Genomic DNA, 25,209 nt, shown 5'->3' with positions numbered 1-25,209 from the left:
TTAACCAGTAGCATACAGCAAAAATGATAGATTACAAGAGATTGTGGCTTCTATCTTGCTAGCGGACTCTCTCTGTCTTCTCTGCTTGCACACTTTGTTGAAGCAAGCTACCATCCCAGAGGCAAGGAACACAGGCCATCAGTTTAGCAGCCTTGAGGAACTAAATTCTTCCAACTACCACATAAGTTTGGAAGTAGATTCTTCTCCAGTCCAGCCTTCAGATGAGACCCCAGCCATGCCAACATCTTGATTGCAGCCCTGTGAGAGACCTTGAAATAGAACCATTTCTGATCTCCTGACCCACAGAAACTGTGAAATAAATATGTGTTAAGGTACTAAGTTTGTAGTAATTTGTTACACAGCAGATTGTAAATAACACGTAGATAAAACCAGACAGAACAGAAAAATAAAATGGCTTTAAATCTAGAAAGTTTCCCCATGTAAAATTTTGAAAATGCTACTCTGCCTAAGGTCAAACCGTCATACATATATACGTATGAAAACACAGAAAGGTGTCTGGAAGGGTAATACCAAATTAAATCTTTATCCAAGAGGAATGAAAACCAGTATTCACACAAAAACCTATGCACAAACCTTGTGAATATATTAAAAACCAGTGACTTATGCACTTTAAAAAGGTGAATTATGTGGTATATGAATTATATCTCCAAAACATTTAATTAAAAACCTGTACACAATTATTCATAGAAACTTTCTTTAAAATTGCTAAAAACGAGGAAGATCTCAGTTATCCTTCAACTGGCAAATGAATAAACAAACTGGTACAGCCATGCAATTGAATACTGCTCAGCAATAAAAAAGAATGCACTGCCAGTACAGCAACATGGATAATTCTCAAATGCATTATGCCAGTTGACAGAGGTCAGACTCAAAATACTATGTACAGTGTGATTCTACTTATATGACACTGAAAAAAGCAGTACTATAAGGACAGAAAACAGGTTAGTGGTTGCCAAGGAGTGGGAGAAGCAGCCAGGGAGAACTTTGAGGAGGTAAAAATGTGCCAGGCCTTGGTCGGTGGTGGTACATAACTGTGCATTTGTCAAGACTCAGTGCTATACGCTGAAAAGGGCAGGTTTTACTATAAGTTGTACCTCAATAAACATGATTTTTAAATGATTAAAACTTTGGTTTTTGTTTGTTTTGGTTCAGTTTTAAGGTTTACCATAAATCTATTGGTTTTAGATTCTAAGTTGTATATAAGCTTCTGTTTTAAAAGAACTTTTTTAAAAATCCTCTTATCATCAACAATATTTAGTTGTGCTGGAAATTTTATTTTGGAATTGTTTAATAGAGAAAGACAATAAATAATGTTCAAGAACAGACATTGATTCATAACATCAAAGTATATTGTGAGAAGATGGTATTTCAGAATAGAGGAAGAATTTCTTATGTGCTGGTAAGATTGTAGATAATCATTTCTGCATAATTTTCATAGCTGGATTGCTTTAATAAAGCCACTTAAAGGTTAAGTTCTAGATTGCTTCATGTTGCTTATCAATGTTTTAAAGCTAAAATAGAAAATTAGCTGTTAAGTTGGCTCAACCGGAAATTCAGTATATCCTTTAAAAAGAGAAATTTAGTAAGCAGTGTGTCTAAAGAATGACATATGGTTGGGTACAGTGGCTCGTGACTGTAATCCCAACACTGTGAGGCTGAAGTGGGAGGATCACTTAAGCCCAGGAATTTGAGACCAGCCTGGAAAACAGCCCAGCCCAGCCCATGCCTGGCTAATTTTTTTTTTTTTTTTTGGATTTTAGTAGAGACAAGGTTTCACCATGTTGCCCAGCTGGTCTTGAACTCCTGAGTGCAGGCAATCCACCCACCTCACCCTCCCAAAGTGCTAGGATTACAGGTATTTGGTTTTTTGTTTGGTTTTCAAGCAACCTTTCTCAATTTTGCTATGCTCACTCTTTCTTCACATGTTGGTACTGGCTAGATACAGATTTTGCTTTCCTATTGGAGACTCTTTTGAGAGCTGGCTATTCCCTCTTGCTCCTTTTCTTTTTTCTCTTCCCTACTTTCAAGTTTCTTGCTCTTTTTCTTACCCCATAAGTTACCAGAAATTCATACCCCCTTGAGAGGGCTTTTTCTTTGAACTTCAGTCTTTAGTTTCATCAACTTTTCTAAGGAAATTGATCTGTTAATGAAAGTTGGCTTGCTTGACTTCAGAATATCTGTATTATTCAATGATGTGTTTTTCTGGTTGCTTTGTTTGAGCATAGTGTAAATATCACCCATTGCATAGCTATGGCAGTGACATAAATCTAGCAGCGTAAGATCGAGAAAAGCTAGAAGTCCCACCACAGATTGTATTTCAGTGAAAGGGATTCATTTTAACTGCTTATAAAACTAAAGAAAACTTATAAACATGGAAAACAATTATTAAACCCACCATATGCTCATACTGATATTAAATGGTGTGCCAGATTCTAGAAAGAGTTACCTTTTGGTAAGAGCACTGCTTGTTAACTATGGTTGGTTGCTTTAGATGTCTAGTGTGTACACAAAAGCATGAATTTTATTCCTTATAACCAAAGTAGAAACCTACTCTGAGCAATTTGACAAAAGGTTTACATTATTTATTTTAGTGTAGTTTAAGATTACAGTAAGATGCAATTCCCAAAGAGTGAAATATAAGGCTGGGCATGGTGGATCACGCCTGTAATCCTAACACTTTGGGAGGCTGAGGCAGGTGCATCACCTGAGATCAGGAGTTCGAGACCAGCCTGGCCAACATGACGAAACCCCATCTCTACTAAAAATACAACAATTAGCCAGATGTGGTGGTGCCCACCTGTAATCCCAGCTACTAGGGAGGCTGAGGCAGGAGAATCCCTTGAACCTGGGGGGGTGGAGGCTGGAGTGAGCTGAGATCATGCCATTGCACTCCAGCCTGGGCACACTCTCAAAAAAAAAAAAAGTGCAATATAACTTTTCACAAAATATGGAACTGTGGTAGTCTAGAACAATGTCTCAATATACCTCCTACACGAAGTATAATAGTAAATATCTGTATTTGGTGGCATAATATGCTCTTAGTATAAACCAAAAACACATGCTGAGCATTGGACATTGTCCAATGTTTAATTCATATGATTCATTCTGAGTTTCTGACTGAGATCATTCTTTCAGACTGTGTATTTCTCCTGGGATCCATAAAATATGCAGCCCTAACATGATTTCATTTTTGTTTCCTTTCCTGGAAAAGGAGAAATCATTCAGATCAGCTTTCATATTGCCTTATAGACGATGACTTCAAAATAGTTTTAAAGGGACTCCTTTGTTCTAGAACTGCTCTAACACAGTAGCCACTAGCCACATGTGGCTATTGAAAGATTGAAATGTGGTTATTCCAAATCAGGATGTACAGTAAATATAAAATACACACCAGATTTCAAAGGCTTACATGAAAAAAGTAATGTGAAATATCTCACTAGTAGTTTTTATAGTGATTACATGTTGAAATTTTAACATTGTGAACATATTAGTTTAAATAAAATGTATTGTGAAAATTAATTTCATGTTTCTATTTACTTTTGATAAAAGTACTACTAGAGGCTGGGTGTGGTGGCTCACTCCTGTAATCCCAGCACTTTGGGAGGCTGAGGTGGGAGGATCACGAGGTCAGGAGACCGAGACCATCCTGGCTAACACGGTGAAACCCCGTCTCTACTAAAAATACAAAAAATTAGCCAGACGTGTTGGCAGGCGCCTGTAGTCCCAGCTACTAGGGAGGCTGAGGCAGGAGAATGGCGCGAACCCGGGAGGCGGAGCTTGCAGTGAGCTGAGATCGTGCCACTGCACTCCAGCCTGGGCTTCAGAGCGAGACTCCGTCTCAGAAAAAAAAACACTACTAGCACATTTTTAAATTACTTGTAGTGATCTCATTTGTAACACATTACATTTCAATCGTATACTGCTTTTCTAAAGAGTCACTGCTAAGCCCTGAAATTAACTCCAAATACCTCCCTGGGATACAGTGCCAAGGAAGGGGCTTCCTTGAACTTCAACCTCTAAAAGTAAGCAAGAATTGAGAAATATCTTCTGCTTTGAAAAATATTCACTCCCCAACGCTAATACATCAATTACATATTATTTGGGGGCTAACTAAGCTCCTATTTTAAAATGTAAACTGAAGAAATCAGGCCAGAGTCATTCCCATCTTAGTGCCAATCATATAATCAGATAATTAGATTGCTCTTTCCCTAAAGCCTGTTTAGTTTTTTTGTTTGCTGGTTTTGTTGTTGTTGGGTTTTTTAATTTGTTTTTGTTGTTGTTGTTGTTGTTGTTGTTTTGAGATGGATACTCACTGTGTCACCCAGGCTAGAGTGCAGCGGCATGATCTCTGCTCAGTGCAACCTCCAACTCCTGGGTTCAAGCGATTCTCCTGCCTCAGCCTCCTGAGTAGCTGGGACTGTAGGTGCATGCCACCACGCCCGTCTAATTTTTTTGTTTTTTGGTTTTTTTGTTTGTTTTGAGACAGTCTCGCTGTTTCCCAGGCTGGAGTGCAGTGGCACAATCTCGGCTCACTGCAACCTCCACTTCCGAGGTTCAAGCGATTCTCCTGCCTCAGCCTCCCAAGTAGCTGGGACTACAGGTGCATGGCATTATGCCTGGCTAATTTTTTGTATTTTTAGCAGAGATGGGGTTTCGCCATGTTGGCAAAACTGGTCTCAAACTTCTGGCCTCAGGTGATCCAGCCGTCTCAGATCAAAGTGCTGGGATTACAGGCATGAGCCACCACTCACAGCTTGCTAAGGCCTTTTGCCAAGACAAATTAGCTCTTAGAGAACCACAGGATTCCTTTTGTAATGTATTACAAACTAAAGTCTTACCTACTCTTGAAGAGTAGAAAACATGGAAAAGTTCTATGTTAGCCCTTAGAATAATTAAAAATTCATAAGCTCTGAAATAAAGACAGGTAATAAAATCATTGCGTATGACAAAACAAAAGTTTAAATTGGCGTTTGTAAACTCTGCATGAAAGCCAGGTTTCTCACTACTAGAAAAAAAGTTATAAATAAGCCAAGGAGAATTCCAGAATGAATCCTGTGGTGCCAAATATATGTTAACTACAAGGAATAACAGTGACCTTACACTGGAAACACCTTAACCATGGGCCAAGGTTAAAGATATAACAGCATTCTCACACCCCTTGCATAGCTACCCCCAATGTTAACATAACTGTTAACAAATTATCAAAACTAAGAAATTCGTCTTGGTATAGTATCACTAACTAAACTCCAGACCTCAGTCAGGTTTTCCCAGTCTTTCCTTCAGTGTCCTTCCTCTGTTTCAGGATTCAATCCATGATCCTTGACACTTGGTACTTTGTCAGATGTCCCGCTGTATGGGTTTGTTTGATGTTTTCCCATGATTAGGGATAGACACTGCAAGACTCAGAGCTACTTTACAAAGAAGCCTCTAGGGAGCTCCCCAGAGAAGACAGGGGAGACAACACAAGGACACTAGAGGAAATTTTAGCCTCTGACATCCATGACTATATAGCAAAGAGTAAACAAAGCCTAACTCCTAGCCAGAGAAACACAAAATCTCATACTAAAGCCTTATTTAACTCAGTTCGTTTCACCCAGTACATCATATACAGCCTCAAACAAAAAATTACAAAGCATACTAAAAGACAAGAAACCCCACAGTTTGAAGAGACAGAGCAAGCATCAGAACCAGACTCAGATATGAAAGAAATATCGGAAGTATCCAACCAGGAATTTAAAATAACTAAGATTAACATGCTAGGGGCTCTAATGTAAAAATGGCATAACATGCAAGAACAGATGGGTAATGTAAGCAAAGAGATAAAAACACTAAGAAGAAATAAAGATGAAATACTAGAAATAAAAAACACCATAACAGAAATGAAGAATGCCTTTGATGGGTTCATCAAAAGAATGGATATGGCCAATGAAAGAATCAGTGAGCTCAAAGAGATGTCAATAGATACTTCAAAAGCTGACACACAATGAGAGAAAAGAATGAAAAAGAAAAAACAGAACAAGAGTCAAGAACTGTGAGACAATTACAAAAGGTGGAACATGGAGACTTTTTGGAAATACCAGAAAGAGAAGAAAAAGAGAAAGCCAGGCATGGTGGCTTACGCCTATAATGCCAGCAATTTGGGAGGCCGAGGCGGGCAGATCGCAAGGTCAGGAGATCGAGACCATCCTGGCTAACACGGTGAAACCCTGTCTCTACTAAAAATACAAAAAATTAGCGGGGCGTGGTGGCAGGCGCCTGTAGTCCCAGCTACTCGGGAGACTGAGGCAGGAGAATGGCATGAACCTGGGAGGAGGAGCTTGCAGTGAGCTGAGATCGTGCCACTGCACTCCAGCCTGGGCAACAGAGCAAGACTCTGTCTCAAAAAAAAAAAAAAAAAAGAGAAAGAAACAGAAGAAACATTTGAAGCAACAGTGACTGAAAATTCCCCCAAATTCATGATAGATAAAGCTATGGTCTGAATGTTTGTGTCTCCTCAAAAGTTATATTGAAACTTAATCCTCAATGTGATAGTACTGAGGTGGGGCTTTTGGGAGTCAATCAGGTTACGAGGGCTCTACCCTCAGGACAGAGATTAGTGCACTTATGAAAGAAGCCCCAGGGAATTAGCTAGCCCCTGACACCATGTGAGGACAAAGCCAGAATGTGTCATCTATGAGGAAGCAGGGCCTCACCAGACACTGCTAGTGCCTTGGTCTTGGACATCACAGCCCCTAGAACGGTGAGAAATAAATTTCTGTTGTTTATAAACTCTCCAGTTTATGATATTTTTGTCACAGCAGCCCAAATGAACTAAGGTAGACATAAAGGAACAGATCCAGGAAGCTCAAAATACATCATTTCAATAATGATCTTTAAAACTTTGTTTGAAATTATACTGATCATTCCGCTGACTGCTGAATGACCTGGCACCGTCTCAGGGTTTTAGTCTGGAGTTTTTGTTTATGCTCATGGCCTCACGGAGAACAATATTCACCTGAAGTGACGGCGCTTCTCTTTTTATGTTGTTGAGAAGCATGATTGGCTCTTTTTTTGCAAAATTATTCACAAACTTAAACTTTGATTCAGAATTATTGAAGTAACATGGTGAGGCAGAGTAATATGTGACTTAAATTTTATGGAGTACTAAGGAAAACGGGCAGACTTAATATAAAAGTGGTGCATTGGTGGTGCTTAAGGGCAAATACCGATAACATGGTGTACAAATAAAGGATCCCGATGATTCAAACAGGTGGAAGTGATGGGAGAACTGAGTTGTCACACAGTACCATATCCACACTGTCACACAAATCTCACCTTTATTTATTCCCTTTTGCACTAACGTAGCCAGAAATGTGAAACGATGACAGTTTTTTCAGTAGGTATTTTTTTTTTTTAGTTTTTATCATTGACCTTTGAGGTGCACTATTAAATTGCTCAGTCCATTAAAATAACGGATTGCTGATTTAAAAACTGGTTCCTTGCTTAGCTTCAGCAAAACAGCAAAGTCTACCACATTAAATGTATATTGTTTATTTGATTTTTATTGACTTTGTTGTCTTATTTTAACTACTTAATTGCAAATCTGTCTTGGGGTTAACACTGTGTAAGAGTTTTAAGCATAAGAAGTCTGTACTTAGAGTTTAGATGTAGTTTTATATTTGTACATGTTGATGTAACATTTTAATAATAATAATTCAGGTCTGCTGGGCATGGTGGCTCATGCCTGTAATCCCAGCACTTTGGGAGGCTGAGGCGGGCGGCTCACCTGAGGTCGAGAGTTCAAGACCAGCCTGACCAACATGGAGAAACCCTGTCTCTACTAAAAATGTAAAATTAGCCAGGCATGGTGGCACATGCATGTAATTCCAGCTACTTGGGAGGCTGAGGTAGGAGAATCGCTTGAACCCGGAGGCGGAGGTTGTGGTGAGCTGAGATCGCACCATTGCACTCTAGCCTGGGCAATGAGAGCAAAATTCTGTCTCAGAAAAAAAAAAAAAAATCAGGTTAATTCTGGGATCTGAGCAAAGTTTTGCTCCTTTCCGAGAGGTGAACACGTTACGCAATTATTAATAATATCCCTGTGGGAAGGGGCTTTACAACAAATTATTTTACAGGTGAAGGGCAGAAATGAAAACATTTTCTAGAGCCACTCCTGCCCTTCACACTCAGGAATGTCGCAGTAGTCATATCTCTGTTCTGGATCAGTAGTATAGCACCAGGGCCCCTGCGCATCGTTGTCTGGATTCCTCCAGTCCCTCTGAGGGGTGTGTAGCAGGTGAGAATCTGGGGAGGATGGAAGAGAAGCACTTAGACTATATTCTAAAAATCAGCTTGCTATTAGCAAGGCAGAAGGAGATGCTCTCGATTCCCATCTGAGATTGTCATCCAAATGCATTTCAGCTGGGTGCTGCAGCATTTGTGTGGTCAGATTTTCAATTTCTCTATTGATAGGCTGCTTCTGGCACAGTAGCTAATATTACCATTGCTACTGTGACAGCCAAGTCTTAGACAGAGAGCCAAAATATTTTTATTGCACAGTCAGGAGAAATATAAAGGCCTCAAAAGCCTGCCATGGTCTTAATTCATTCCAAACACCTGCTTTTGTCAGTTGCCCTTTTCTCTGTAAAAATTTTCGTAGTTAACACCATTTTGTCCATGTGAACTATGTGCCAGGAATTCCACTAACATCTTTCCACACATTCTCTCTTTTAGTCCTAATAAAAAAAACCATTTGAGGAAGGTGTTATTATCCCTGTTTTACAGATGAGAAGACTGAGTGGCAACGTAAAACAAAACAAAACAAAACTTGCCTAAGCATAAATAGCTATGAAGAAGCAGATCAAGAATTCAAAGTTGATCTGTCTGATTCCAAAGTCCTGGTTTTCTCTGAAATGCAGCTTGAATTATTGGGGATGGAGGAGGGATTTAAACTTATTTTCAGTTCTAGAGATGAGTTGCTGTATAGAGACAACCATTTAGATGACAATCACAAGACTTACAGTCTAGAAAGGCAGGTTTTATTTCTGGTTCTTCTGTGAACCTATTTGGGTAACCCCCACCCCCCAAGACCTCAGTTCCCTCATGAAGATGAGCCTAGACTACCTCATAAAAATGGCCCAGAGTGTCTCCATGGCCCCCGATAGTCTCTGACTTCGCCATTTGGTTGAATCAGTTTTCATTAACTCACGGGGAATATTTGATCTGCTCATCTCATAGGGATATAGCAAAGGCAATTTGTTGAGTGTTGGGGGAATGGATAAAGGTGAGTAACACTAAGTTCCTATTTGATAAGTGTCATTACTGAGAACTTAAGGCCACCTAACACCAAACTGGGAAAAGCACAAAAAAATGCACTAAAATAAATAATAGGCAAGTTGTGACATTTGAATTTCACGTATCTTCATTTTCATTTTTATATTTTATTTACTATTTTGCTCCACAATTTGAGTCAAACATGTGATGAGAGTTCTAACTTGATATGTTTACTTCAGTCCCAAACATAGTCATCTTTGGTCTTTTCTCAGATTTGGCCTAAAACTCGTAGTTTCATTGATTTTTTTTTTTAACTAGGCATTCTTCTATGTTCTAGGTCTTCAAGAAACCTCCATACCCAAGAAAAAATAGAAAGCAACCATGTTCTACTATGGTGCCAAAAATAGTTGAACATCGACATCAAAAAGATTCTTTCTGTCTGCTTATTCACATATTCTGGTTTGAATTAAAAGTGATGAAATTATCCTAAATACAGTTGGCCCTCTGTATCCATGGGTTCCACATCCACAAATTCAACCAACTGTGGATGGAAAAGACTTGAAAAAGATGAGAGAAAATAACAATATGACAATAAAACATAATACAAATAAAAACAATACAGTATAACAACGATTACATAGCATTTACATTATATTAGGGATTGCACAAGAGAAGGTATGTAGGTTATATGCAAATACTGCACCATTTTACATAAGGGACTTGAGAAGCATGGATTTTGGTAGCCACAGGGGTCCTGGAACCAATCCCTCACAGACACAGACGGACACTTTACAGTAGATGAACACAAAGATGAAAGGAAAAGTCTGACCTAGGTCTGCGGGGAGAAGTGGAACTCCATTTTTGACAGGTGATGCCATTTTTTGTTTTGGACATCGTCCCTCTGTAGTTCTTTCCATTCCCAGTCTTGCACTCTGAAAGATACACTGAAGGAAAGTCCACACAGTGGTCAAAGTCTTTCACAAGACACCACGTGAAGGTCTGCACAGCACAGTCACATTGAGAAAAAGATCTCATGCACCAGACCCCCTGTTTCTGCTTTCTAAAAGATCATCTTTTGCACCTGCAAAAAGGCTGCAGTAAACTGGGCCATTCCATACTTTGATTCATGTATTCAAATGCTACTTATGAGCTCTCTGTGTATTGAGCCCCACCAGGATGCTGGGGACACACGGGGCACAGTGCAGCCAGAGGCTTGGCCATCATAGAGCTCACATTCTAGTGGAATCAGACAGGGGGGTTACAGGAAATATTCAAGTAAACAATATAAAATGAGATCACTTAATGATGATACATGGATACATGTTACATACATGATGAGACAGAGTAAGAGAATGGGGAAAGGGTTTTTAGATGGGGGAATGGCAGGCTTTTCCGAGGCTGAAAGAGATCCAACCCACTTCTATTTCTTCAGGCTCCCAGTGATATGAAAAAGTGCCAAACAGGACTATAAAATTGTGGTCTACTGTAAATGGTTTGCAGTAAAAGTTCTCAACCAGCTTCCACTCAACCAACTCACCAGTTAGACAATGGGCCCTCTCCTGTGTTTAAAACAGTCCGGTGCCCACCTGGGTCCACATGCAGCTGGCAGGTGTTTGCTAGTGTGCCCACCCATGTCTGTTCCCCCCACGTGAGTTATGTGCTTACAACGAGTCGTTTCTTTGCATTTTCCAACTTTCTTACATTTATATTTAATTAAAGATGATCTAAACTGAGAAATGAATGTGAAAAGAAACAAAGCTCTTTTTTGTTTGGTTTTTAACTAAATTAAATGTTTTTAACAAGTTGAAACGTGAATCATTTAAAAAATTGCTATCAGATCCACAGAGGGCAATCCACTCATATAGTTGACTATAAAGCTTGAGGAGGAATTCATAAAAATCTAAAGGTTTTACACATGCAGATTGATTAATAAATGTCGAGATATGGTCCACTTCAAAAATAAGGAAAGTAATTATTGTAGATGTTGCACTAGAGCATAGTTTATGCAGGAAATGCACCAGAGACCTTCTACTGGTGACCCCATATTCGAAGAAAAAAAGCCTCTGCTCTACATCAAGAGGTGTCAAGTACACTTGTGTTTTCAATGAAAATATAAAATGTTTAAGGTATATTTGCACCATCATTTAAGGTTACCCACTTTAGCCATTTTTAAATTCACTGATCAATCACATGGGGAGTACTCCTAACGTACCTACAGCAAACTAATGCTTTTAACCCAATACTACCTATTATGATTGCCAGTACATCTTCATTGGGACATAGTATTACAGTAGACATAAGACACTCATCAAAGTGTAAACTCAAGGTACTTTGTGAAAGGGAGGTCTAGGGGTCAAGGAAGATTTGCAAAGGAGGTGATGATTGAGCTGACACCTAGGCGATAAGAAGGAGCTGGCACAGCAGGACAAAGGTGAAGAGGGTCCCAGGCAGGAGGGCGTGTGCTTGGGGTGGTGAAGGAACAGAAGTAAGGCCAGAAACTTTGTAGAAAAGTTTAGCAAGCCAAGCAAACAGCAGCCGGGGGTTACGTAAATAATGCCGGGCCCTGGCACATTTGGGAAGTCTTTGGGTCTTATTTTAAGGGCACTAGGAAGGGCTTTAAACAGGGAAGTTATATTTCTTCGAGATCAGGTGTACAGCTACAAGTAGCCCCAACCAGTGGTGATAGGGTCTTGGACTCGGTGAAGGCAGTGTGGCTGGTGGCAAGTGGCAGAAGTAAACGTGATCTAACACTGACTGTTCCTGGAAAAACCCTGGCAGGTAAGTTAGCAGCAGGTCAATATCCCACAGCAACTGTATGTACCCACCGGAGTTTATATAACCTTTTGCTCCCTTCTGTCACTTTGAAAACAAGCAAACTAAGCCTTCAAACTTCACACTTCAAACTCAACCTACAGTCATTCCCATGTTCCTTCTGGTTAACAATTTACAAATGACATATTTAAATGTTAGCATTTTGTAGAGAGAATCAGGAGAATCAGGGTTTTTTGTTTTTTTTTTTAAATCTGGTACAATTAGGTCATCCTATTTAGTTTACCGTTTGCTTGCTACTTGTAAGAACTAATAACTTTACCAGATAAAGTTTAGATTTCATCTGTACTTTAATCTCAAGAATTCGAGATAAATAGTGGTAAGGAAGAAAGTACAATGCGTACAGCTAATGAAACCCAGGAAGATGAGTCAATGCATAGAAATAATTCCAACCCAAATAAATACTATTTAAAATGCTACTTGGAGTTTTGCCGTGATACTAGACACAATATGGCAAATCATCCTCAAGAATACAAGAACTAAGGTGTTTCCAGTCCTCTTTAACACCTGTGATGCAGGATATTTGGAGAGCTAAATTGTTATTATTAACAGTCTTAATACCTGGCCACCAACACAGTAGAGGAAACAGTTTTTAAAGTGTCATACATCTCTTCAAATATTCATACGCTTAATGAAACATTCGCACATCTAAAAAGGCATGCAATTTCTATTGAAATCCTGTGTGCCTCTTATTCTAAGCAGTGGGACTATTGACCCACATTTTAAAATAAACTATAGAAAAGGAACTGTAACTTTTACACATTTTTAAAAGACAACATATCAGAAATCTGAGAAAAATATAGACCATGTCCCCCAAAATGTGAAAAATTTAAGAGTAAAAAATAAGATTTGTGTCCCAATCTAAATGTTTCTGAGGATTAAAACACCTCAGTATTTCTGTTTTACAAGGCTTCGTCCAGATGTTAGGGCCCAAGGACCATGGTCACCCTGCAGAATAAGAAGCCAAGACCAAAAGGAATGCTTAGACTTCCCATCTCCTTGTTAAATATAAAATAATATTTTAAAAATCTTATTTTCAGGGTCATAGAGGTAGAAGTGATTTTGTAAATCTAATCCTTTCATTTTTTGAACAAAAAAAAATTAAATCTAGGAGGTGAAGTAATATACTCAAGCTGACATGGTTAGTTAGTAATCAAATCCTGTCCTAACTCAGAATTCAATTTTACAACACCATAGCGCCTTCCTCCTCTGGTCTCATAAATTAAAGATAGAATAGAGAAAGAGGAAGAGTGGGAGGATGGGGAGGACAGTAGGAGGAGGAGGAAGAAAATGTACTCACTTTACTTTTCAAATAAAACTGCATCTCTCATCCTAATGATTATGGAGGACTTCCTGTTTTCAGCCATTATCACACATTGTTGCTCTTTACTGTGATATTGGAATGCCCTGCAGAACGAAGCAGGAAATCCAATAAGTATTTTTCTTTATTTAAAGAAAACAAATGTTTATTAATAAATGAGAAATGCTAAAGATCATTGACTATCTTGAGGGACCAGAGAGCTCAGAATTGCTGCCTCTTTCAGTTATTTGGGCATGGCATTGATGAAGTACTGAACAAAATACACCAACGTGGCAGTAAATCTTATCTGCCCTTACCTTCCCTCCCTCATAATTTTCTCTTTCTTTCTGTTTCAACTGTTTTACTTCTTCTTCACTCATCTTCTTAATTTTTGTTTTTGGGTCAGAAAGAAGCAACTCTGGTTGCTTTGAACCCATTCCCCAAGATAGTCCATCTCCATGACCTCCCAACTCTGATCAGTTCCCCTGAACCTCTGCCCCACATTCCACCCCACCCTGGCCCCTGACCCCTCCCATCTCCATCCCGTGGTCCTGCTATGGGTGCTCAGTCTGGCATCCATAGCTACTTTCCCAGGCTCATCACCTACACAAAGTCTCTGCTTTAGTCAACTTGATCTCTTAATGGTCCCCCTCAGAAAGTGCAGGGCCGCATCTTCCCCTGCCTTCCTGGTGCTTTTCAAGAGCTCTCTCAACTCCAAACCCAGCTCGGTTCCCACCTCCTCCCTGAGCCTTCTCTAGCTGCCTCAACCTTAGGCACTGTTCTTTCTTCTGGATCTGGGTAGAACATGCATTGATTATGCCTGTAGCTCACTTAGGCTGTCTTTTTTTTTTTTTAACATTATATCCAGTCACCTTAAATACTGAAGGGCAGGCACTGGATCTTGTAGCTATAAGTCATTGCTCAGATCTATCTAGGACACTTTCATTCATATGATCCTCAACAAACATTTACTGATGATGATGTTAAAAACTGGAGCTCAGAACAATAACTGCTAATGTTTATGTCCGGTGTAAAAACAAATAACTTCCTTTTAGGGTATTTTTCTAATGAAGACTCCAGTAAACCTTAACAAGAAGCTGTTAGTATGGCTTCACATGCTATGAGCAAATATAGTTCCAAACTCTGGCTCCATAAATTTCTCTTTCCTCTTAAATCGTTAATAAATTTGTGAGTAAATTACTTGCCATCTGAATTACAGATTTCTGGGTAGGTGCAACGACGATGAAAATACCTGCAGGTGAATTCTTTGTCCTCTTCACATTTTGCTGCACATTCTTCTCTGCTTCCTGCCCCCAGCTGCTTCTTAGTGACACTGAACAGTGAAGGCCCCTGGGTATTCACATAGTCATCCAGGGGCTCTCCTTGACCTAGAGGTGGGAGATCCAAGTGGAATAAATGGTCAGTAAATCAATGCCAATGTCTAATTGTCATGACTTCCTTTTAATCTATTTGGTTAGCATTAACCAAATAAAACTTGCTGTTTACTGGAAGTAGAATGGGTAGCTATGAATCAAAATGTTTAGTTAAGAACACACAGTTGGGCATGTGGACATAAATAAAGATGGCAACTAAAGACACTGGGGACTACCAGAGAAGGGAGAGAGGGAGCGAGGCAAGGGCTGAAAAACTACCTATTTAGTAGGTATTTAGCTCACTACCTGGGTGATGGGAATCATTTGTACCCCAAAGCTCAGTGTCACGCAATTTAGTGATGTAACAAACCTGCACATGTACCCCTGACTCTAAAAGTTGAAATTATAAAACAAAGAAAAACAGTTTCATTAACAGATTGCAAGATAGTAAAAGATTAACTGGATTGATAAACAGGTTAGAACTATGGAACCACTACTATGTTACCATATTAGTGGATATAAATCCTTAAACAAGAACAAATTTTATGTTTGCTATCAATTGTGCCATGTCATGAGAGAAGAGTAAGGCACCATCAGTGGCAGTTGTGTTACCAAGATTGATGTTGATTTGTTCATCCCTGGGTAGAAATGGAACTTGGAGGCCATTGTTTGATTTCCTACAATATGCGCTTTGGTTCTGACACTGTCACTTGAACTGGTGGGAAGCATCCTCTGAATGGTCCCTCCTTGAGACACATAAATTTTGGTGCATAGATGATGGTGGAAATAAACAAGAACTGAACTAAATTATGTTGCCAACTTGGACAAAAATTGGGCAAAACACTGGAGGGTAAGAAGCTCCCCAACAAAGAAGGCCATTTTTGTACTGGGCTGATGACAGTCACACAACACTACTAACTGGGGAGAAATCAGTTTTTCCAAGGTGTTGACAGGTATCTGGATTTCGGAGGAAATTGTAAAAAAGCAGAACCTGGGACAAATACTGGTCTTGGTTTTTCTTTGAGATCAAATCTGAGACAACGAATCTGTCCGAAAGCTGCTTTCTGCCTGGTCGTGGCAGAGGGTGGCCAAGGGGGCCTCAGCTGTGCTCCCACCACAAGGCTACAGGGTGTTCCCTTGTCCTGAGGCTCTTCCGGACATCTGGCTGAGCTTTGGTAGGTCTATTCCAAGCCTGGAGATGCCAGCTCCATCCTTCGCACAGAATGCTAGTGATTTTCACAGGGGTAAGAGGCCAAAAGAGGCTAATAAAATGAAGATAGCCAAGCTCCATGGAATTAGACAACAGGACAACCTTGACCACTTTGAGGGGCGTGGTGGGGGCTGCAGGCAGAGGGAGTGGGTTATAGAGTGACGAGGAGAGCAGTGGAGGCGGCAGCGGGAGACAAGCCTGGCTCTGAAGACAGCGAGCCCTCCAGGGAAGATGAGGTCAGGGGAGGTTCTGAAAGATGACACACTGCAGAGCGCACTGGTTTGTATGCTGATGACAAATATCCAGTAGGAAGGCAAATGAACAGATTCTCATTCTCAGAAAGGCCCGTCCTGACCTCCTGAGGGTACACAGAGCACAGGGAGGAGGATGCACGCTCATCAATTCATGCAAAGTCCTCGGCCAAAGTCCCCCTGCTCCCCACCTCTGGGACTTCGTCCTTCCTCAATTTAAGACATTCCGGGCTGGAAAAATGGATTATTGAGCAGGAGTTGGCTGATGCATTCTAAACCTAATCCACTGAAAAGCACTTGAGAGATGTATCAAAAGATCACAAAGAAATAGATGCTTTAGGCCCATATCCATGTCTTTACCCCGCACTTTCTGCCAACTTGAACTCTCATTTCCAAGAAGAGTTGTGTTTTGGTTAATTCTATAGCTCGCAGTGTGACTTCAAAACACACAATAAATCCACAAAGTGTGTCCTACGGTGAGTTCAGTTAAACTTTCTGAAGAGTTTTTTTGAAGTATAGCAGAGCAGGCTACAATTGATATTCAAAAAAAGAAAACTTCCATTTATTTCCCCCTTCAATTAAGTTCTCTGTGTCATGTTATTATACTTCATAGCGCATCGCTGCTGAGATCCCCTCCCCAGCTCCTGTCCCTAGGAAATATCCCAAAACAGAATCAAACTTTTTTCTTTTTAATTTGAAATAATTTTCCCCCATTTTTTTTTTCTCTTATTCACCTCTAGGACTCATATGGCAATAGGATTTGATAGGGCTTATTTGCTGGCAAGGAAACATCAAATCTTTTAGTGGAAAAATACATTTATATTATAGGCAAAATGCAGATGTATATTGCTACTGATGCAAATGTATTTTATTAATGGTGTGAGAATTTCTTCCTCACTGTGGTGTGTGAATGTGTATGCATATTTGCATGTGTAAAAGACTTAATTTGTGAAATGGAAGATGTTTCTCCACTTCCCACTAAGCATGGCTGTAAAAGAAACTTTTTCCTCTCCCCGGGCATTGCAGCACACTGGAAAGATGATACATCCACAGAAAGCCTGGCTTTCCAAAAGAGCTTATGAGAGAATGTTCCCCCCAGGTTGGTTAAAACATTGGTAATCCTGTGGCGGAGAAGTTTGTTCTAGCCTTTGGGTGTAGCCCACTGAATAAGTTCACAGTGATCTATGTCATAGTTTCCATGCATTGAAATATAATATTCACACCCCCAACATACACCAATTTCTTACAAAAATTTCTTTAATTTTCTCCTGCTCTGTATTTTGTTTGATAGCTCCTTGAATGGCTTCCACTAAATTCAAATGTATTTGACTCTAAAGTGCAACTTGTAAAATTTTATCTGGTAATTTATAGATTGAATTTCAAGTATACATTATTTACAGGAAGAACTACTAGCAAATCGTATGATTCCGTTCGTATGAAATGTTCAAAATGGCAAAGATATAAATACAGAAAGTAGATTAGTGGTTGCCAGAAGCTGCAGATCGGGGGTAACAGCTAAGGAGAGTGGAGTGCGTTTTTGGGGGTATGAATAGTTTTAAAATTTATTCTGATGGTGGCTGCACAACTCTCAATATATTGAAATCCATTGGATTGTATGCCTAAATGGGTGAATTCTATACATTAATTATATCTCCATAAAGCTTTTTTTTAAAAAAAGAAAAAGAAAAAGAACTACTAGGACATGTTTAGAATATTATTTCAAAGGCTTAAACAAAGCTGAAAAGTGAGAAGAGCCCTAGATTCCTTCTGGGAAACCTGGCTTAAATCCAGTTTTCTTTATTTCCCAGATTTGAGAATTTGGTCACTGAGCAAATAACATGATTTTCCTGTCTAGATTTCTTTGTTTATAAAATGAGGGTGAATATGCTACCCTACCTATACCGCGAGCTAAATAAGCTAGTATTTGTAAAGGACACACACTCACACTCACATTCACACACAGGTATGTATGTATGTGTAAAAATGTAGCGACCTAACCCAAGCACTAAGTGAGTATTTGTTGAATCACTGTCTGCACACAGCATCTGGCAAATGGATGCGTGTGATTTTTCCGGGGATTAGAGGCAAACGTATACTGATGGAAAGCCTTCCTCAGGCCATAACAAAGGGAGAAATGCTGAATCCCTGACGCTGCCACCACCATGAACTGGTGAGAGAACAGAATATATTCAAAGAGAAATTTCATTGTTTTAACTTGCAAGTGAGGGGAGCATGACACCGTAAGAGAGATTATATAAATTAGTCAAACTGAGAACCAGGCGAAGAGCTTAGCCGTCCTTTGCATAGTTAGCTACATTGGCTCTTTTTCAATTAGACTGGCCATTATGTGGGTGCACTCATTTAGATTTGAAAAACCACCCATTATTTTCTCTGCGCATTCATTCCAGCACGCTGACAATCTTCACAGGAAAACTAAACTTATTTCTTGAAGAATTCCTCAATCTTATACAAGATTTTCAACTGGGAGTTTCATGAATCAAAAATTAAATGAATTGCACATAAAGCCATGGCATATGTATTTGTACTGCATTGTGGGAGAAAAAATAATTATTATAATTTAAAAAAACTATGTCTTACCTGATTTCAGAAATAAAAGAAGTAGAAGAACCACTTCCTTATGTTCCATTTTGGGACTGGCCAGCAGTGCCCAGAAAGTGTGTCCCAATCCCAGGATGTTGTTGACTTACATGAGAGTAAACGCATCCACAGACCAGATAGTCAAATTAAGTTAATGATTCTCTCAGACACCCACGCCACTGGCTCAGCAGGGTTCAAACATGACCTTGAATAAAGGGTCCTTACAAAATGATTGAGGGTGGAATCTGCAATAGATGCTGGGAAGTGGTGAAAGCAATCTCCCCCCTCAGCTGCTCCACGCTGCCTTCATGTCTCCTTACTCCTTCCCTCACCTTTGTACTTTATCTCTCACAATTAGTCTTATTTCCTCCCCTCTTCTTTTATTCCCTTTCTTTTGGAGAAAATGAAATCAGAAAAGTATCTCACATTTGCTGGAACCTTCCATGACGAGACCCTCTGCCAAGCGCTGCACGTCCATAGCCTCCCTCAAGCTTCCCAACAGGCAGTGCTGTTCTCATTCCTGCTGTACGAGGGATGGGGCTGAGGCCTTCCCCAAGGTTGTGTCGCTACCCAGGGGTGCAGCTGATAGACAAAACCCTTTCAGGTCCTGGATGACAAACTTAAGTTAGGTGTAAATGTTAATATCTCCACATCCTACACCAAATGACATAGAAATTACGACATAAGTGAAAGTATCTTATTATCTTCAAAATTTCTTTATTCCCAGTGAACTCACATGTTTTCTGTAATTATAAATTATAAGACATCAATCTTTCCCCCAAATGAACGTATGGCATATTATTATATTCTCATTCTCATGAAATAAAGCAAGACTGGTAGCACTAAGTGGAAAGCGTCTATCTCAATTTTAAATGTTGAATCTGTACTTTTCCCTGGCTTAAGTCTAGAGCAACCAGGTAGTATATATGTTGTAAAACTTCTATTTTAGTGTTCAAAGATATTTAGCAATAAATCAATTGACCTCTCTATTTTAGATGTGAAATAAGGACCAGAAAGCATTGTTCCTCTTTCCAGGCAGTGAAATTCCTGCCTATTCATTAACTGGCAAAAGAGTAGAGGTGGGAGCCCAATGGTCTTGGGTGGAACATCCTGTGGAATTCCCTGGGATTGAGGAATCATGCAGAACCCTCAAGAAGAAACCACACTGGGCAACAAGAGGGTGGCCCCATGTGAGGAACAGGGGGACCGAATCGCATTTCCTGATTTCCTATTCTAGCCTCACTCTCTTCTCTCCTCAAATTCTTACCACTCCCTTTATCCTCTCTGACTCACCTCGTGGCCCAGTTCATTAAAGGGGACAGAAGGTGGAGGCAAATTGAGAAACCAGCAGTGGGCAGACGTTTTATTTTTAATGTGAAATGTCTCTTAGGGGGCTTATGTTGATGTGCTTGAGAAAGTACTTTGGGGAAAAAAAAAAACAAAGTCTACTAATATATAATGCTTCCAGCATGTATTTATTTCCACTTAAAATATTATTGTAGCAGTTCCTCTTGGATAAGGCATCTTGGGAATGATGTTATCAGAAATTCTACATCCACATAATTTTCTTTTCCTGTTGTTTTGGTTTTGACTTGGGTGGTGTTGGTATAGCTTTTGCCCACCTTTCCCCTGGTAGGTGTTGGATGCATTAAATTCTACAAATGCGATTTTATAAATTAGTTGCCCTCCTAATGGCCTCCTGGCTGTACATTCTTCCCTACCTTCATAATCCATCAGCATCGTGAAAGCACAGAGGGACATTGAGCAGAGTTCTGTGCTGGCGCCACCGCACTCTGTAGCCTGTAAGAGAGCAGCAAAGAGGAATGAGTTGCTCAGGTATAGACAGGGGTGGATGCATAGAGACTTCCACTGTGGCACGGCCCTTCATGTCCAGGGTAGGCATGAAGCAATGGACTATTCCAGATTGTGCATAGGAAACCACACTGCACTCTTAGACGGATTTTTGCTCTAAAGACAACTAATTCAAAATAAGGTGCTTTCTACCTGAAATAATGGCATGAACTGAGAAAAGAGATATAGAGAGATCTCTGTGTACTACGATCAGGTTGCACATATTCTGAGATTTATGTATTCTTATTTAGTTCAATTCCTTATTTACTGACCACTTACTGTGTACAATATTGTATTAGATTCTTTTAGGATTACAGTTGACCCTTGAACAACTTGGGGGCTTGGCACACTGACCGTACACAGTAGAAAATCCAGGTATAATTCTGATTCCCCCAAACTTAACTACTGATAGCCTGCTGTTGACCAGCAACAGTTAATAACATGTATTTTGTATGTTATATGTATTATATACTGTATTCTTACAATAAAGTAAGCTAGAGAAAAGGAAACGTTTCTAAGGAGAAAATACATCTATGGTACTGTTATGTATTTATCCATACAGTAAGTTTACACCGCCTGTTTACAAGATGAATCATCTGTCTGAAATGGAAGCAACCCCAGCTACAGACCTCAGTCTCTGTTACATATCAAGCAAATCAAGTTTTTCTTGTAATGTCAAATGTCATGACTTTTCTCTGCTTGTTGGGAGCACTTCCAGCATCACTAGTGCCACTTCATGTGGATCCCATGGTGTTATTCAAGGTTTACAGTACAGCGCGAAACAGGATGAAAAATACACGTGAACAGGGAGAGGGCACTTTTTACTGGGATGCGCAATTCACTGGGGATGACCTGCTCATGATGGAATGTTGAGTATCACAGAACGTTTTAAGTGGATACTTGCAACACCTGAGCTCATTGCAACAGCAACAGGAGGAGGCTATGAACTTATTACCGTACTGTGGTATGCACTACGGTTAAATTTATGCAGTTACAATTTAATACTGCATCTTGATGTTTGTATACACTTCTCTCAACTGAGAATAGCACCATATACGATCTGTGAGTGTGTACATAAGTTTTACTAAATTTTAACTTTTGCAATAGTTTTGTTATATTTTATGGTAGTAAATAATAAAATAGACTAGGTATCTACATACATTTTATGCATTCATGACATACTTAACTTTTTCTATTTTTGTTGATATTTCTAGCTGCATGGTTTGTCTTTGAGTTTTTTCAAATTGTTGCAAAACTCCAAAACATTTTCTAACACATTTATTGAAAAAAATCTGTGTGTAACAGTTCAGACGTGTGTTGTTCAATGATCAACTATATGTCTAAAGAGTACAAATCAGTCTGTAACCTTCCCCAGCCTCTCCATGCTAAAGGAACTACAGGAAACTTTCGCACTCAAGATGTGTGGAGATTCTGCTGCTGCACTTGTAGCAGGCATAAGAACGTTCAAATAGGCCGGGCGCGGTGGCTAATGCCCGTAATCCCAGCATTTTGGGAGGCCAAGACGGGTGGATCACGAGGTCAGGAGTTCGAGACCAGCCTGGCCAGCATGGTGAAACCCCATCTCTACTAAAAATACAAAAAATTAGCCGGGCATGGTGGCATGCTCCTGTAGTCCCAGATACTGGGGAGGCTGAGGCAGGAGAATTGCTTGAACCCAGCAGGCAGAGGTTGCAGTGAGCCGAGATCGTGCCATTGCACTCCAGCCTGGGTGAGAGAGCAAGACTCTGTCTCAAAAAAAAAAAAAAAAAAAAAAAGAACATTCAAATAAGATTGGAGACAAATTGAATTTCCTTAGCTCTGCCCAGCATAAGGCCTGCAATCAAGATCCACTCAGGTCCTCTTATGAAGGAATAGACGTCTCTTCCAGCATTAAAATGGTAAATTCCTTGCAAGTATTTACAAAGAAAGTTATAAACACCAGGAAACATCAACCTCACCAGGAGGTGAGGTAGAGTTCACCCTTCCATCTCACCTGAAGTGGAAAATGCAGCCAAGTCACAACTTCCTAGGTGATGCACGTCCATGCAAGCTGGACTGCATTGCTGGCCTGACATTTGCACCTGGCAGCTCCTCGCCACCCCCTCTTTCCACCTTCCTTGAGCCCAGGCTCTGCTGCCCGGGAACTGCCATTCTAGGACAGCTCACTTCATCAAGATGAACTTCTCTGAATAGCCCTAAGAGGACAGTATCATTTCCAACTGGAAATAGCAAGAACTTAATTAATCTACTAAGGATTCATATAAAGCATCCCTCTGTCGTGGTAAGGGTCCTCGGCAAGTTTATCTGTGCCCTCGATGCCAATGTGCAGGTTGTTTTTACTGCTGTTTTAGTGTATGAGAGCATATCAGCGAGGAGACTTCTACTAATTAACCTGGAGGTGGCTCTTCTTTCTTTAGTTGCTCTTTTCCACATGTTAGCCTTTGTTCATCAGTCCCCAGGACCATGCAATGAGGTGCTTATCAGCCCTCATGTCCCGTAAAGAGATAGCAGGCTATCTCTCAAGTTAGCACAGTGGTTAAAACGTAATCCACTAGGGGGCATTTTCCTTTCCTTTCTTTCTTTCTTTCTTTTTTTTTTTTTTTTTGGAAACAGAGGCTGGCTCTGTCACCCAGGCTGGAGTGCGGTGGTACAAACACAGCTCACTGTAGCCTTAACCTCCTGGATTCAAGCGATTCTCCCACCTCAGACTCCAGAGTAGCTGGGACCACAGGTGCACGCCACCATGCACAGCTATTTTTTTTTTTTTTTTTTTTGTATTTTCTGTAGGGACAGGGTTTTGCCATGTTACCCAGGCTGGTCTTGAACTCCTGGGCTCATGAGATCCTCCTATCTCAGTCTCCAGAAGTGCTGGGATTACAAATATGAGGCACTTTGCCTGGCACTAGGAGACACTTTCTCAGTGAGACCTAACTCATTTGGGGCTCAGTGAGGTGATATTTTCTTAATTGAGTTGTGCTTGAAAAAATCTAGATATCTATTCATCTTTGAAAAAATTAATTTTCATTGGCTGTCTCCTCATCATTAATAAGCATGGCTGTGTTACATGCTTAAGACAAATATTAGCAGAGAAGAAGAAAGTCAGACCCGGATAACTTAGCAGCCTGCACTGAGGTGGCACCAGGACTCCCCAGAGGAGAGACGAGGGTCCTTCTGCTCTGAGGTCCAGACTCACCATGGATAAAACAGAGTTGCACCAAATCATCCTTCCCATCTCTCACATTGATTGTTCTCTAAGCTCATTCAGAGAAAAAAAAAATCTTATCTCACAGTATGTCAGGGAGATAAGTCATGTAGAAAAACCTTAAAATATTTTCAGGAAAGCAAATGAGTGCACAAAAAACCTGGTGAAATCTGAGCAAGGTCTGCAGACTAGTTTCTGATATTGTGCCAATGGCAACTTTCCAGTTGTAATCATGAACTATAGTTATGTAAGATACTGCCTGAGGGAGGCGGGGCCATAGGCACAAGGATCTCTCAGTACTATATTTGTAACTTGTTGTGTTTATACTTATTTCAAAACAAAAATTATATGTATATATTTATATATGTATACATGTTATGTTTGCAACACATGTGCCTATATTTGGATACATGTGTCTATTTTAGGAGGACCTAGGATGATGTAACTGCTTTCATACTAGTTAAGAGAATTCCCAAATTTCAGGGAAAGTCTAAAGTTATAGAGTTCCTAACTCAGGGTGCAGAACTCGGACTTTGGCTGATTCTCGTGAGCTCCTGGGATGAGTGGGTGGGACAGAGAGGCTTCTCCACCACCACACTCCTTCCCTGGCTGGAGACCAGATGGTTAAGGACTGATGGGTGCCAGAGAGCAGCAGCCCTCCATGTGGGTCCAGAACCCAGAGGCTGGAGTAGTTCATGCCTGCTCCTGCCTCCCAGGTATTCAAGGGAAACCCACCATCTCCACACACCAGCAAAACACCAGCAAAACAGAGGCCCCAAGTAATGACTTCTCCTTTCTCATCTTATCTTGCCACCTGACCAGCTCCTGGGCTCCTCAATCCAAAGTTGGGGAAGAGAGAAGGGAATGTCAGTGGAAACCACTTTTGCTATAAACTCTCATCCTTCAGATGTTCTTTCAGTGGGTACAGTGTTTAGTGCTGTGCTAGGTGCTGGGGAATCAAGAGTAAATAAGAGGCCATCTTTGCCCTCAGGGAGTTTTTGGTCTCATGGGTTTGGGGCAATGCAGGTCTGTAAACTGGAATTGTAAAAGTGAAGTGGCCCAGGTCCCATTTGTTGTAGTGGTGCACAGAGAGACAGTCTTGAGAGGTGAGGAGACATTTCCCAGAGGAAGTAACATCCAAGTTGAGACTTAGAAGACAGCTGGAAGGATGAGAAAGGAGAATAATTCTGTGGAGTCCTAATTAGGCAAAAGGAATCAGGCTGGTGACACTGAGGAAAAAAGAAAGAGAAAGCAGATAAGCTGTAAGTTTGCCTTTCTTCATGGTCCAGGACCATAGCCCTCCTGCACAAATAGCTCACAAT

General features: G+C 40.3%; 2 protein-coding genes across 5 annotated transcripts in view; one reads left to right on the top strand and one right to left on the bottom strand.

Moving 5' to 3' along the window:
* The window catches only part of RGPD2 (RANBP2 like and GRIP domain containing 2), a 233,859-nt gene extending 222,782 nt beyond the window's left edge, over nt 1-11,077 (top strand). For 3 of the 4 annotated variants that reach the window (XM_047445734.1, XM_017004845.2, NM_001078170.3), the window contains one exon: nt 9,611-11,077. In XM_047445734.1, coding sequence (XP_047301690.1) covers nt 9,611-9,645 — 35 coding nt within the window. In that variant the 3' untranslated portion in view covers nt 9,646-11,077. The remainder of the gene's footprint in view (nt 1-9,610) is intronic. The other variant, NM_001393613.1, reaches the window with a different exon arrangement.
* Nucleotides 7,561-18,950, bottom strand: PLGLB2 (plasminogen like B2). The gene is made up of 4 exons (NM_002665.4): nt 18,835-18,950; nt 14,655-14,790; nt 13,403-13,509; nt 7,561-10,217 (listed from the first exon to the last, which is right to left on the bottom strand). Exons 1-3 carry the CDS (start codon nt 18,881-18,883, stop codon nt 13,404-13,406), a joined length of 291 nt encoding a protein of 96 aa, NP_002656.1. The 5' UTR covers nt 18,884-18,950; the 3' UTR covers nt 7,561-10,217; nt 13,403.
* Nucleotides 18,951-25,209: the final 6,259 nt, after the last annotated feature.

Source organism: Homo sapiens, chromosome 2 (genome assembly GCF_000001405.40).
Source record: "Homo sapiens chromosome 2, GRCh38.p14 Primary Assembly".
NCBI classification, from domain to species: Eukaryota; Metazoa; Chordata; class Mammalia; order Primates; family Hominidae; genus Homo; species Homo sapiens.
This window is presented reverse-complemented; position numbering and strand designations above follow the sequence as displayed.